This window comes from Homo sapiens, chromosome X, assembly GCF_000001405.40.
Source record: "Homo sapiens chromosome X, GRCh38.p14 Primary Assembly".
NCBI classification, from domain to species: domain Eukaryota; kingdom Metazoa; phylum Chordata; class Mammalia; order Primates; family Hominidae; genus Homo; species Homo sapiens.
In genome coordinates this window covers 65,388,748-65,404,555 of record NC_000023.11, presented here as the reverse complement: position 1 = coordinate 65,404,555, position 15,808 = coordinate 65,388,748, and the positions used below count along the sequence as shown (strand labels likewise).

The 15,808-nt window shown below is 40.2% G+C and overlaps 1 protein-coding gene across 14 annotated transcripts in view, besides 1 other annotated feature; it reads right to left on the bottom strand.

Moving 5' to 3' along the window:
• Positions 1-15,808, bottom strand: part of ZC3H12B (zinc finger CCCH-type containing 12B) — a 473,062-nt gene that overhangs the window by 103,332 nt on the left and 353,922 nt on the right. For 4 of the 14 annotated variants that reach the window (XM_047442075.1, XM_047442076.1, XM_047442074.1 and 1 more), the window contains one exon: positions 5,903-5,963. The exons of 9 other annotated variants lie outside the window; for them this stretch is intronic. The gene's annotated coding sequence lies outside the window, so the exon portion shown is untranslated. Of the gene's footprint in view, positions 1-5,851; positions 5,964-15,808 lie in introns of all 14 variants that reach the window. One more of the 14 variants, NM_001010888.4, reaches the window with a different exon arrangement.
• Positions 11,236-11,737: an enhancer, noted in NCBI's record as "NANOG hESC enhancer chrX:64612699-64613200 (GRCh37/hg19 assembly coordinates)". NCBI's record gives its function as "activates a minimal SCP1, AML or CMV promoter by ChIP-STARR-seq in naive H9 embryonic stem cells {active_cell/tissue: H9 hESC(naive)}" and the evidence as "EXISTENCE:reporter gene assay evidence [ECO:0000049][PMID:30033119]".

Here is a 15,808-nt window from a genome sequence, read left to right as displayed (position 1 = left end):
TATAGCTACTCCTGATCATTTATTGTTTCCATTGGCATGGAATGTCTTTTCCATCACTTTTCTTTTAATCTATTTGTGTCTTTATAGGTAAAGTGTGTTTCTAGTAGGCAACAGAATCTTGTTTTTAATACACTCAGCCACTCTATTTATTTCGATTGTAGACTTTAGTTCATTTACAGTCAACATTATTATTGATAAAGACTTACTCCTGCCATTTTGTTATTTGTTTTTTGGCGTTATTTCTTTATTTTCTTCCTTTAGTGAAGGCGATTTTCCCTGGTGATATGATTTATCTTGCTTTTTGTTTTTCTGTTTCCATTGTAATTTTTTTTGTTGTTTGTTTGAGGTTACTGTGAGGCTTGCACCTGCTATCTTATAACCCGGTAACTACTCAACCCGGTTTTCATAAACAAATAAAGAAACAAAAAGAAAACTAACACAAAATTCTATGCCATAACTTTATTTTCAAGTTTTTTAACTTTTTTGTTTCTATTTAGATCTTATTGTACTGTCTATGTCTTAAGAAGTTGTTGTAGTTATTATTTTTGTTTGGTTCATCATTTAGTTTTTCTAGCTAGCATTTTAGTTGATTACATATCACAGTTGCAGTATTATAACACTGAAGTATTCGGTGTTTTTTTCTGTGCACTTACTATTACCCATGAGTTTTGTACCTTCAGATGATTTCTTGTTTCTCATTAATGTCTTTTTCTTTCTGATTGATGTACTCCCTTAAACATTTCCCATAGGACAGGTCTCTTATGAATGAAATCCCTCAGCTTTTGTTAGTCTGTGGAAGTCTTTATTTCTCCTTCATGATTGAAGGGAATTTTTGCCATATATACTATTCTAGGGTAACAGTTTTTTCCCTTCAACACTTTAAATATGTCATGTCACACTCTCTTGGCCTGTAAGGTTTCCACTGAAAAGTCTGCTGTCAGACATATTGCAGCTCCATTGTATTTGTGTCTTTTTTCTTGCTGCTTTAAGCATCCTTTTTTTATCCTTGGTCTTTGAAAGTTTGATTATTAAATGCCTTGAGGTAGTCTTTGAGTTAAATATGCTTGGAGATATATAACTTTCTTGTATTTGAGTGTTAATAACTTTCTCTAGGTTTGAAAATATCTCTTTTATTATCCTGTTGAATAAACTTTGTACCCCTATCTCTTCCTCTATCTCATTTTTAAGGCCAATAACTCTTAACTTTGACATTTTGAGGCTGTTTTCTAGATCCTGTAGGCATGCTTTACTGTTTTATATTCTTTTCTCTTTTGTCTCCCCTAGCAGTGTATTTTCAAATAGTCTGTCGTCAAGCTCACTCTTTCTTCTTGATCAATTCTGCTATTAAGAGACTCTGATGCATTCTTCAGCATGCCAGTTGTACTTTTTAGATCCAGAATTTCTGCTTGATTTTTAAAATTATTTCAATCTCTGAAAAATTAATCTGATAAAATTCTGAATTTCTTCTCTGTGTTATCTTGAGTTTCTTTGAGTTTCCTCAACACAGCTATTTTGAATTCCCTGTCTGAAAAGTCACATATCTCTGTTTCTCCAAGATTGATCCCTGGTGCCTTATTTAGTTCATTTGGTGAGGTTATGCTTTCCTGGGTGGTGTTGATGCTAGTAAATATTCTTTGGTGTCTGGACATTGAAGTGATTGATATTGAATTTTAGTTTTCACAATCTGGATTTGTTTATACCCGTCCTTATTTGAAAAGCTTTCCAGAAATTAAAAAGGACTTGGGTGTTTTGATGTAAGCTGTATCTGCTTTAGGGAACACCCAAATCTCAGTAATGCTGCAGTTCTTGCAGACTCATAGAAGTTGCACCTTGATGGTCGTAAACGAGATTTGGGAGAATTTTCTGGATTACCAGGCAGAGACTCTTGCTCTTTCCCCTTATTTTCTCCTAAACATATAGAGTCTCGTTCTCTGTTCCAAGCCTCTTAAACCTGGGGTTGGAGGTACACAAGCATCCCTGTGGCCATCACCACTAGGACTAGGACCGTGCTGGGTCAGACTTGAAGCCAGCACAGCACTGGGTCTCACTCAAGGCCTGTTGTAACCACTTCCTGGCTACTGCTTATATTCACTCAAGGCCCTGGGACTCTATAATCACCAGGTGGCAAAGCCAGCCAGGCCTGTGTCCTTCCCTTCAGGGAAGTGAGTTCTCCCAGGTCCCAGGTGGGTCCCTAGGTGTCATCTAGGAGTCAGGAAATAGAGTGACAAAACTTAGAAGTCTACCTTGTGTTCTATTGTATTGTGGCTGAGCTGGCACTGAAACCATGACACACAGTTCTTTCAACTCTTCCTTCTCCTTTCCAAAGGAAGAGAACCTTCACTCTGTAGCAACCACCACCTTAGGCCATGAGGAGTTCTGCCAGACTACTACCAATGTTCCCTTAAGGCCCAAGAGCTCTGACATCAGCTTTTGGTGAATGCTGCCTGGCCTGCAACTTACCCTTCAGAGAACAGGGTTCCCTTCTGGCCCAGGGCAGATCCAGAGATGCCATCCAAGAGTGAAGTCCTGAAACTGAGGATTCCAAGAGTGCCCACTTGGTGTTATATCCTCCTATAGTCATGCTGATATCTGAAGCCAGCAATTTCAGAGGCTTGCTCAAGGCCCTTGATGTAGCTCAGGGTTCAAGGCCTCTTCAGTTATCAGGTGATAAATGCTGCCAAGACTGGCTCCTTCCCTTCAATGCAGTGGGTTCCTTTCTGGCTCAGGGCATGTCTTGAGATGTCGTCAGGAAACTAGAGCCTGAAATGGGGGCCTCACAACTCTGGTCATTGCCCTATTCTGCTGTGGCTGAGGTGGTATCTAAGATGCAAGGCAAAGTCCTCCTCACTTTTCCCATTACTCTCCTAAAGCAGAAGGAAGGGATCTGTTTTGGAGCCTCAAGCTGTGCAGCCTGGGGTTAGAAATGTGGTGATTTCAGATCTCCCTTAACTGTGCTGGCTGGTGTTTCAGTAGATCATGTGGCCTCCCAGTCCACTGTCTCTGGGCTCAGTTTAGCCCTATGACTTGCCTAACAGTTGCAGTCCTGATGACCTAGAATGCTTTTCAGGTTTACTTAGAGATACAGAGCACTTTGTCCCCCAGTAGTGATGTGTGAGGGAACTCAAGTTTAGACCACTAGGCTAGGTGACTACCCTCTGGCTAAGGTTTCTTTAAGTGCTCCCTCCATTAGCTCGACATGCATCAGGTAAGTTTGGTCTGGTTTTCCTCTCTGCTCTAAAAGGATAGCACTGAGATTAATGCCTCACAATTGCTGTGCTCACCTTCCCCCAGCATCCAAAGAAGCTCTCTGTACCACACTGCTGCTGCCAAGGGTGCGGAAGGGGTGGCATTTGAGATTCAGGAATGTTTTTTCTATCTCTTCAGTGCATCTTTCAGCAGTATAGAGTTAAAACCAGGTATTATGAGGGCTCATCTGATTTTTGGTTCTAATGAAGGTGTTTTTTTTTTTTTTCCTCTGTAGATAGTAATTAAATTGATGTCCTTGCGAGGGTGACAATTGGTGGAGCCTTCTATTCTGCCATCTTGGTCCTCTCTGAAAATGCCTTTTGTAATATTGTTTCCTTGGAAAATATGTTTGCAGCTGCAGAAAAATAACTAACATTACCTTTGGATTAAACACCTATACTGAGTACTGCCTTGAAATGATTACCTACTATGAAGTACAATCTGATCCAAAATAGTGGTAAATTCTTCCCTGAGATGAATTATCACCAGGTAGAGATTATTATCCAGATTAGGTAAATTGAAAAATGAAGCTGTTGAATCTTCTTTTCATTTTCTGTGCTTTGTGTTAGAACATCTCCCCAAAGAGTCAGGGTTTTTATTGAGGAATAAAATGACTGTGGACTTCACTTTTAGGAGTATAATTCAGTAACAATGAGCAGAAGAACTAAGCAGACTGCTTTCCCGCCTTCCCCTTGCAAATTTTTTGAAGATTCTGCATTGAAATAATTATAACACTTTGATTTCAATCAACATTATTAAAATCTTTACAAGCATAAAAAAGGTGAATTCAATACAATTTGTTAGACTGATGAAAAATCTGTAGCATTACTGTCTAAAAATAACAGAATTTGGGAAGAGAATGACAATAACAAGATATAGATAAGTTCCCTTAAGAGATTCCAGAGTCTTTTTACAAGCACCAGATGAGGCATAGATCTGATGACCTTTGAGTTTATTTCCTACTCTGAAATTTTAAAATTCTCTGATTTCTAAAATTCTCTGAGTTGTCTATGCATAAGCCAGTTTCTCATAGCCAGCTCTATGGGCATATATAACATATATTCCCACTTTCATATTTTGGCAAAATAACAATAACCACATTGATAACATCGATTGATGCTTTGGTATTTTTTATTTTAAATATTTTTTATTTTAAAATATTGTTTACTTTTTACTATAGTCACCCTGTTGTCCTAGCAAATACTAGGTGTCATTTATTCTTTCTATTTTTTTGTACCCGCTAACTATCCCCATTTTCCCTATCCCCCGACTACCATTCCCAGCCTCTTGTACCTACTCTTCTACTCTCTATTCCCATGGGTTCTTTTGTTTTTATTTTTAGATCCCACAAATAAGTGAGAAAATGGGATATTTGTCTTTCTGCCTGGCTTATTTTACTTAACATAATGACCCCCAGTTCCATCCATGTTGTTGCAAATGACAGAATCTCATTCTACTTTTATGACTGAGTAGTACTCCATTGTTTACATGTATTACATTGTCTTTACCCAGTCATCTGTTCAACACTTTGGTTGCTTCCAAATCTTGGCTATTGTGCATAGGGCTACAATAAACATGGGAGTGCAGATATATTTTTGATATACTGATTTACTTTCTTTTGGGTATATATCTAACAGTGGGATTGCTGGAACATATGGTAGTTCTATTTTTCTTTTTTTGAGGAACTTCTAAACTGTTTTCATAGTGGTTGTACTAATTTACATTACCACCAACACTGTATGAGGTTTCCTTTTTCTCCACATTCTCGCCAGCATTTGTTATTGCCTGTCTTTTGAATAAAAGTCATTTTAATTGAGGTGAGATAATATTTTATTGCAGTTTTGATGTGCATTTCTCAGATGATCAATGATATTGAGCACCTTTTCATACACCTGTTTTCCATGTGTATGTCCTCTTTTGAGAAATGCCTATTCAGGACTTTCACCCATTTTAAAATCTGCTTATTATATTTTTCCTTTCCTATAGAGGTGTTTTAGCTCCTGTGTATTCTGATTACTAATCCATTGTCATATGAATAGTTTGCAAATATTTTCTCTAATTCTGTAGGTTGTCTGTGCATTTTGTTGATTGTTTTCTTTGCTGTGCAAAACTTGTGATCACATTTGTCCATTTGTGTGTTGGTTGCCAGTGCAATAAATAGCACTTAATAGTGTATTACTCAAGAAATCTTCACCCAGTCCAATGTCCTGATGAATTTCTCCAGTGTTTGCTTTTAGTAGTTTCACAATTTGAGGTCTTATATTTGCGTCTTTAATATGTTTGGATTTGACTTTTGTATATGGTGAGAGACCGGGATCTAATTTCATTCTTCTGCATATGGATATCTGGTTTTCTTAACACCACTTACTGAAGAGACAGTCCTTTCCCCAAAGTGTGTTCTTGGCACCTTTGTCAAAAATGAGTCCACTGCAGGTGAACAGACTTATCTCTGAGTTCTCTATTCTGTTCCACTGGTCTATTTGTGTGTTTTTGTGCCAGGACCATGTATTTTGGTTACTATAAGTATTAGTACATTTTCATGCTGCTATAGAGAACTAACTTAAAAATGGGTAATTTACAAAGAAAAAAGGTTAAATTGACTCACAGTTCTGCAGGCTTAACAGGAAGCATGACTGGGCAGCCTCAGAAAACTTACAGTCATGGTGGAAGGTGACTGGAAAGCACACACATCTTCACAATGTTGGAAGCATGCACATCTTCACAATGGCAGGACAGGAGAGAGAGTGAGGGTGTAAGTGTCACACTTTTAAGCCATCAGATCTCATAAGAACTCACTATCATGAGAACTGCATGGGGAAAATCCACCCCAATGATCTAATTACCTCCCACCAGGTCCCTTCCCTGACACATGGGGATTACAATTCGAAACAAGATTTGTGTGGGGACACAGCCAAACCATATCACTATAGTTCTGTAGTATAATATGGAATCAGGTAATGTGATTACTCCAGTTTTGTTCTTTTTGCTCAGGATAGCTTTGGATATTCTGGGTCTGTTATGGTTCCCCATAAAATTTAGAATTGTTTTTCTATTTCTGTAAAAAGTATCAATGGTATTTGGATAGGGATTGCATTAAATCTATAGATTGCTTTGGGTAAAATGGACATTTTAAAAATATGGATTCTTCCTATCCACAAACAGAGAATACCTTTCCATATTTTGGTGTACTTTTTAATTTCTTGCATCCATGTTTAATTTAAAAAAAAATTCACTTCTTTGGTTAAGTTAATTCTATGTATTTTATTTTATTTGTAGCTATTGTAAATGGGATTACCTTCATGATTTCTTTTTCAGAATATTCTATGTGGGCATATAGAAATGCTACTGATTTTTAATGTTAAATTTGTATCCTGCAAATTTATTAAATTTGTTTATCAGTTCTAATAGATTTTTGGTAAAGTCTCTGGGTTTTGTGAAGTATAAAATGATATCATCTGCAAAAAACAATAGTTTGACTTCTTTCATTTTAATTTGGATGTTCTTCATTTCTTTCTCTTATCTGATTGGTCTAGCTTGGACTTCTAGTACTATGCTGAATAACAGTGGTGAAAGTGAGCATTCTTGTTGTATTCCTGATCTTAGAAGAAAGGCTTTCAGGTTTTCCCCATTCAGTATAATACTAGCTATGGGTCTATTGTATATGCCTTTTATCATATTGAGATATGTTTCTTGTATACCTAGCTTTTTGAGGGTGTTATTCTTTATGAAATGATGTTGAATTCAATGGATCTCTCTGCAGAAACCCTACAAGCCAGAAGACAGTGGGGCCCAATATTCAATATTTTTAAAGAAAGAATTTTCAACCCAAAATTTCATATCCAGCCAAACTAAGTTTCATAAATGAAGGAGAAATAAAATTGTTTACAGACAAGCAAATGCTGAGGGATTCTGTACCACCAGGCCTGCCTTACAAGAACTCCTGAAGGAAGCCCTAATATGGGAAAGAAAAATCGGTACCAACCACTGCAAAAACACACCAAAATATAAAGACCAGTGACACCATGAAGAAACTGAATCAACTAATGTGCAAAATAATCAGCTAGCATCATGATGACAGGATCAAGTTCACATATAACAATATTAATGTTAAATGTAAATGGGCTAAATGCCCAAATTAAAAGACACAGACTGGCAAGTTGGATAGTCAAGACTCATCGGTGTGCAGTATTGAGGAGACCCATCTCACGTGCAAAGACACATATAGGCTCAAAATAAAGGAATGGAGGAATATTTACCAAGCAAGTGAAAAGCAAAAAAAGCCGAGGTTGCAATACTAGTCTCTGATAAAGCAGACTTTAAACCAACAAAGATAAAAAAAGACAAAGAAAGGCATTACATAATGGTAAAGGGATCAATGCAACAAGAAGAGCTAACTATCCTAAATATATATGTACCCAATACAGAAGCACCTAGATTCATAAAACAAGTTCTTGGTGACCTACAAAGGGGCTTAGACTCCCACATAATAATAGTGGGAGACTTTAACACCCCACTGTAAATATTAGACAGATCAATGAGACAGGTTATTAACAAGAATATTCAGTACTTGAACTCAGCTCTGGACCAAGTGGACCTAATAGACATCTACAGAACTCTCCACCCCAAATCAACAGAATATACATTCTTCTCAGCACCACATAGCACTTACTCTAAAATCAACCATATAATTGGAAGTAAAACACTTCTCAGCAAATGCGAAAAAAAAAAAGACAAAAACAAAAAACCTGAAATTATAACAAACTGTCTCTCAGACCACAGTGCAATCAAATTAGAACTTAGGATTAAGAAACTCACTCAAAACCACACAACTATATGGAAACTGAACAACCTGCTTCTGAATGACTACTGGGTAAATAAAGAAATAAAGGCAGAAATAAATAAGTTATTCGAAACCAATGAGAATGAAGACACAACGTACCAGAATCTCTGGAACACAGTTAAGCAGCGTTTAATGGAAAATTTGTAGCACTAAATGCCCACATCAGAAAGCCGAAAAGATCTAAAATCAACACCCTGACATCACAGTTAAAATAACTAGAGAAGCAAGAGCAAACAAATTCAAAAGCTAGCAGAAGACAAGAAATAACTAAGATCAGAGTGGAACTGAAGAAGATAGAGACATGAAAAACCCTTCAAAAATCCATGAATCCAGGAGATGGTTTTTTGAAAAGATTAACAAAATAGACCAGTAGCCAGATTAATAAAGAAGAAAAGAGAGAAGAATCAAATCGACCCAATAAAAATGATAAAGGGGATATCACCATTGATCCCACAGAAATACAACCTACCATCAGAGAATATTATAAACACCTCTACACAAATAAACTAGGAAACCTAGAAGAAATCAATAAATTCCTGGACACATATACCCTCCCAATACTAAACGTGAGAGAAGTCGCATACCTGAATAGACCAATAACAAGTTCTAAAATTGAGGCAATAGTTAACAGCCTACCAACCAAAAGAAAGGCCAGGACCAGACAGATTCACAGCCAAATTCTACCAGAGGTACAAAGAGGAGCTGGTACCATTTCTTCTGAAACTATTCCAAATGATAGAAAAAATGGGACTTCTCCCTAACTCAATTTATGAGGCCAGAATCATCCTGATTCCAAAACCTGGCAAAGACACAACAACAACAAAAAAAACTCAGGCCAATATCCCTGATGAACATTGATGTGAAAATTCTCAATAAAATTCTGGCAAACCAAATTCAGCAGCAAATGAAGTTGGCTTCATCCCTGAGATGCAAGGCTAGTCCAACATATGCAAATCAATAAATGTACTCCATCACATAAACAAAGCCAGCGACAAAAACCACATAATTATCTCAATAGATGCAGAAAAGGCCTTTGACAAAATTCAACAGCCCTTCATGCTAAAAACTCTCAATAAACTAGGCACTGATGGAACATATCTCAAAATAATAAGAGCTATTTGTGACAAACCCACAGCCCATATCACACTGAATGGGCAAAACCTGGAAGAATTCCCTTTGAAAACTGGCACAAACAAGGATGCCCTCTCTCACCACTCCTATTCGACACAGTATTGGAAGTTCTGGCCAGGGCAATCAGGCAAGAGAAAGAAATAAAGGGTATTCAAATAGGAAGAGAGGAAGTCAAATTGTCTCTGTTTACAGATGACATGATTTTATATTTAGAAAACCTCATCATCTCAGCCCAAAAACTCCTTAAGTTGATAAGCAACTTCAGCAAAGTCACAGGAAGGAAATTCAATGTGCAAAAATCACAAGCATTCCTATACACCAATAATAGACAGAGAACCAAGTCATAATTGAACTCCCATTCACAATTACTACAACAAGAATAAAATGCCTAGAAATACCACTTAACAGCTTAGAAGGGACCTGAAGGACCTCTTCAAGGAGAACTACAAGCCACTGCCCAAGGAAATAAGAGAGGACACAAACAAATGGAAAAACATTCCATGCTTATGGATAGGAAGAATCAATATCTTGAAAATGGCCATACTCTCCAAAGTAATTTATAGATTCAATTCTATTTCCATCAAGCTACCATTGACTTTCCTCACAGAACTAGAAAAAACTACTTTAAATTTAATATGGAACCAAAAAAGGAGCCTGTATAGCCAAGACAATCCTAAGTAAAAAGAACAAAGCTAGAGGCATTAGGCTACCTGACTTCAAACTATACTACAAGGCTACAGTAACCAAAACAGCATGATACTGGTACCAAATCAGATATGTAGACCAATGGAACCGGACACAGGCCTCAGAAATAACACCACACATCTACAACCATCTGATCTTTGACAAACCTGACAAAAACAAGCAATAGGGAAAAGATTCGCTATTTAATAAATGATGTTGGGAAAACTGGCTAGACATATGCAGAAAACAGAAACTGGAGCCGTTCCTTACACCTAATACAAAAATTAGCTCAAGATGGATTAAAGACTTAAATGTAAAACCTAAAACCATAAAAACCTTAGAAGAAAGCCTAGGCAATACCATTCAAGACATAGGCAAGGGAAAAAGACTTCATGGCTAAAACACCAAAAGCAATGGCAACAAAAGCCAAAATTGTCAAATGGGATCTAATTAAATTAAAGAGCTTCTGCCCAGCAAAAGAAACTATCTCAGAGTGAACAGGCAACCTACAGAATGGGAGAAAATTTTTGCAATCTATCAATCTGACAAAGGTCTAATATCTGGAATTGATAAGGAACTTAAACAAATTTACAAGAAAAAAACCAAACAATCTCATTGAAAATTGGGTGAAGGATATGAACAGACACTTCTCAAAAGAAGACATTTAGGTAGCCAACAAGCATATGAAAAAAAGCTCATCATCACTGGTCATTAGAGAAATGCAAATCAAAACCACAATGCAACACCATCTCACACTAGTTAGAATAGAGATTATTAAAAAGTCTGGAAACAATAGATGCTGGAGAGGATGCAGAGAAATCGGAATGCTTTTACACTTTTGGTGGTAGTGTAAATTAGTTCAACCATTGTGTTAGACAGTGTGGCGATTCCTCAAGCATCTAGAACCAGAAATACCATGTGACCCAGCAATCCCATTACTGGGTATATACCCAAAGAATTATAAATCATTCTACTATCAAGACACATGTACACATGTGTTTATTGCATATGTTGTACTTATACACCATGAAATATTATGCAGCCATAAAAAGGATGAGTTCATGTTCTTTGCAGGGGTATGGATGAGGCTGGAAACAAAACCAAACACTGCACGTTCTCACTCATAAGTGGGAGTTGAACAATGAGAACACATGGACACAGGGAGGGGAACATTACACACTAGGGCCTTTCGGGGGTTGTGGGGCAAGGGGATGGAGAGCATTAGGACAAATACCTAATGCATGCGGTGCTTAAAACCTAGATGACGGGTTGAAAGGTGCAGCAAACCACCATGGCACATGTATACCTATGTAACAAACCTGCACGTTAAGCACATGTATCCCAGAACTTAAAATAAAATTAAATTAAAAAAGAAAGGATGTTGAATTTTTTTTTAATTTTTTTAGTATTTATTGATCATTCTTGGGTGTTTCTCAGAGAGGGGGATTTGGCAGGGTCATAGGACAATAGTGGAGAGAAGGTCAGCAGATAAACTTGTGAACAAAGGTCTCTGGTTTTCCTAGGCAGAGGACCCTGTGGCCTTCCGCAGTGTTTGTGTCCCTGGGTACTTGAGATTAGGGAGTGGTGATGACTCTTAACGAGCATGCTGCCTTCAAGCATCTGTTTAACAAAGCACATCTTCTTGCACCGCCCTTAATCCATTTAACCCTGAGTTGACATAGCACATGTTTCAGAGAGCACGGGGTTGGGGTAAGGTTATACATTAACAGCATCCCAAAGCAGAAGAATTTTTCTTAGTACAGAGCAAAATGGAGCCTCCTATGTCTACTTCGTTCTACACAGACACAGTAACAATCCGATCTCTCTTTCTTTTCCCCACATTTCCCCCTTTTCTATTCGACAAAACTGCCATCGTCATCATGGCCCATTCTCAATGAGCTGTTGGGTACACCTCCCAGACGGGGTGGTGGCCAGGCAGAGGGGCTCCTCACTTCCCAGACGTGGCAGCCAGGCAGAGGGGCCCCCCACCCCCCAGATGGGGAGGCCGGGCAGAGGCGCCCCCCACCTCCCAGACGGGGCGGCTGCTGGGCGGGGGCACCACCCACCTCCCAGATGGGGTGGCTGCCAAGCGGGGGTGACCCCCACCTCCCAGACGGGGTGGCTACCGGGCGGGGGCGCCCCTCACCTCCCAGATGGGGCAGCCCGGTTGGAGACACTCCTCACTTCCCAGACGGGACGGCTGCCGGGCGGAGGGGCTCCTCACTTCTCAGACTGGGCAGCTGGACAGAGGCGCTCCTCAGTTCCCAGATGGGGTTGCGGCCGGGCAGAGGTGCTCCCCACATCCCAGAAGATGGGCGGCCAGGCAGAGATGCTCCTCACTTCACAGAAGGGATGACGGCCGGGAAGAGGCACTCCTCATTTCCCAGACTGGGCAGCCAGGCAGAGGGGCTCCTCACATCCCAGATGATTGGTGGACAGGCAGAGACGCTCCTCACTTCCTAGACGGGGTGGCGGCCAGGCAGAGGCTGAAATCTCAGGACTTTGGGAGGCCAAGGCAGGCGGCTGGGAGGTGGGGGTTGTAGCGAGCCGAGATCATGCCACTGCACTCCAGTCTGGGCAACATTGAGCACTGAGTGAGCGAGACTCCATCTGCAATCCCGGCACCTCGGGAGGCTGAGGCAGGCAGATCACTCGAGGTCAGGAGCTGGAGACCAGCCTGGCCAACATGGCAAAACCCCGTCTCCACCAAAAAATACAAAAACCAGTCAGGCGTGGTGGTGCGCACCTGCAATCCCAGGCACTTGGCAGGCTGAGGCAGGAGAATCAGGCAGGGAGGTTGCAGTGAGCCAAGATCGCGGCATTACAGTCCAGCCTTGGCAACAGAGGGAGACCATGGAAAGTGGAAGACGGAGATGAGGGAGAGGGGGAGACCATGGAAAGCGGGAGGAGGGAGAGGGAGAGGGAGAGGGAGAATGTTGAATTTTATCAAATGCTTTTTCAGCATCAATTGAAAGGATCATCACTGCAGGACTCAGTGTCCATGGAGCAACTACTTTGTTCTCTACTAGCCCCATACCTAGAGACCAGTTTCTCCAGGCCCAAGGGACCAGCAAACAATTGCCCTCCATCCTGTTGGGCCCCATATCCCCCACTGGCTCATAGCCTCAGTCAACCAGGGACCTGACATCATTGCATGAATTATCACAATATAATTCACATAATCACACCATTGTTATGAATCAAAATCTGCCCAAAAAGAGATATCTTAGTTTTCTCAAAATCAAAGAATGTTTTAAAAAACCACACAGCTGCTGAATAATCAACCTGTGAAACTGAGATGTTTCTAGAATGAAACAGTAAATGTGCCTGTAATAACTTAATTTTTTATGTCAGAAAATTATATTTGTCTCCATCTTTTTTCCCACAGTATATTAAATAAAAAGGGAAATAAGGTATAAATAGATTTTGTAAACCTTTTATATTGGAAAAGCCATGAAGTAAGCAGATAAGACAGATGTTCTGTAACTTGGAGGGGTATATAGGATATTTTTGAAAAGGTACAAAGTCCTCAGATGGGCTTAGAAAATTCACTGTATAATCCATATATCATTTTACTTGACTTGCACATCTTCAGGTGCTTGTGTTTACTGTGTTCTTGCCATTAACTAAATGTCTCAGTCTGTCCCAGTGTATAATATTCTGTGAATTTTATTGTATTATAGTTCTATTGTTGGTCTCTTTGCATCGATGATACAACAGCAACATTTTAAAATTATTGTTATTATTGATTCCTAGTTTTATTCTGTTTTGCCAGAGAAGATGCTTGATATTATTTCTATTTTGTTGAATACTTTAAGACTTGCTTCTTGACCTAACATATGGTCTATCCTTGAGAATGATCCATGTGCTGAGGAAAATAATGTGTATTCTGCAGCTGTTGAATGAAATGTTCTGTAAATATCTCTTACGTATATTTGATCCATAGTGCCGATTATGTCTGGTGTTTGTTGATATATTTTTAATGGTCTAGAAGATACATCCCATGCTGAAGGTGGGGGTGGGGGTTGAAGTCTCCCGGCATTATTGTATCTCTTTCTTATTCTCTAAGAATATGTGCCTCATATATCTGGGTGATCAAGTGTTAAGTGCCTATAAATTTACAATTGCTATATCTCCTGCTGAATTGACCACTTTATAGTTATATAATTATGGTCATTGCCTCTTCCTATAAGTTTTGTCTTGAAATCAATCTGATTTCGAGTATAGCAACTCCTATCCTTTTTTTTTAAATTATACTTTAAGTTCTAGGGTACCTGTGCACAACATGCAGGTTTGTTACATATGTATACTTGTGCCATGTTGGTGGGCTACACCCATTAACTCATCATTTACATTACGTATATCTCCTAATGCTGTCCCTCCCCCTCCCCCTACCCTATGACAGCCCCAGTGTGTGATGTTCCCCTTCCTGAGTCCAAGTGTTCTCATTGTTCAATTCCCACCTATGAGTGAGAACATGCAGTGTTTGGTTTTCTGTCCTTGGCAATAGTTTGCTCAAAATGATGGTTTCCATCTTCATCCATGTCCCTACAAAGGACATGAACTCATCCTTTTTTATGGCTGCATAGCATTCCATGGTGTATATGTGCCACAATTTCTTAACCCAGTCTATCATTAATGGACACTGGGTTGGTTCCAAGTCTTTGCTATTGTGAATAGTGCCACAATAAACATACGTGTGCATGTGTCTTTATAGCAGCATGATTTATAATCCTTTGGGTATATACCCAGTAATGAGATGGCTGGGTCAAATGCTATTTCTAGTTCTAGATCCTTGAGGATTCACCACACTGTCTTCCACAATGGTTGAACTAGATTACAGTCCCACCAACAGTGTAAAAGCATTCCTATTGGGCGTGGAGCCAAGATGGCCGAATAGGAACAGCTCCAGTCTACAGCTCCCAGCATGAGCGACGCAGAAGACGGGTGATTTCTGCATTTCCAATTGAGGTACTGGTTTTATATCACTGGGGAGTGTTGGAAAGTGGGTGCAGGACTGTGGGTGCAGTGCACCAAGCATGAGCGGAAGGGCGAGGCATCGCCTCACCTGGGAAGCACAACGGGTCAGGGAATTCCCTTTCCTAGTCAAAGAAATGGGTGACAGATGGTACCTGGAAAATTAGGTCACTCCCACCCTAATACTGTGCTTTTCCAATGGTCTTAGCAAATGGTACACCAGGAGATTATATCCCGTGCCTGGCTTGGAGAGTCCTACGCCCATGGAGCCCCGCTCACTGCTAGCACAGCAGTCTGAGATTAAACTGCAAGGTGGCAGCGAGGCTGGGGGACGGGTGCCTGCCATTGCCGAGGCTTGAGTAGGTAAACAAAGCAGCTGGGAAGCGCGAACTGGGTGGAGCCCACCACAGCTCAAGAAGGCCTGCCTGACTCTGTAGACTCCACCTCTGGGGGCAGGGCATAGCCAAACAAAAGGCAGCAGAATCCTCTGCAGACTTAAATGTCCCTGTCTGACAGCTTTGAAGAGAATAGTGGTTCTCCAGTACACAGCTGGAGATCCGAGAACGGACAGACTGCCTCCTCAAATTGGTCCCTGAACCCCAAGTAGCCTAACTGGGAGGCACACCCCAGTAGGGGAAGACTGACACCTCACCCAGCCGCTTACTCCTCTGAGACAAAACTTCCAGAGGAACGATCAGGCAGCAATATTTGCTGCTCACCAATATCCGCTGTTCTGCAGCCTCCACTGCTGATACCCAGGAAACAGGATCTGGAGTGGACCTCTGCCAAACTGCAACAGACCTGCAGCTGAGGGTCCTGTCTGTTAGAAGGAAAACTAACAGAAAGGACATCCACACCAAAACCCCATCTGTATGTCACCATCATCAAAGACTAAAGGTAGATAAAACCACAAAGATGGGGAAAAAACAG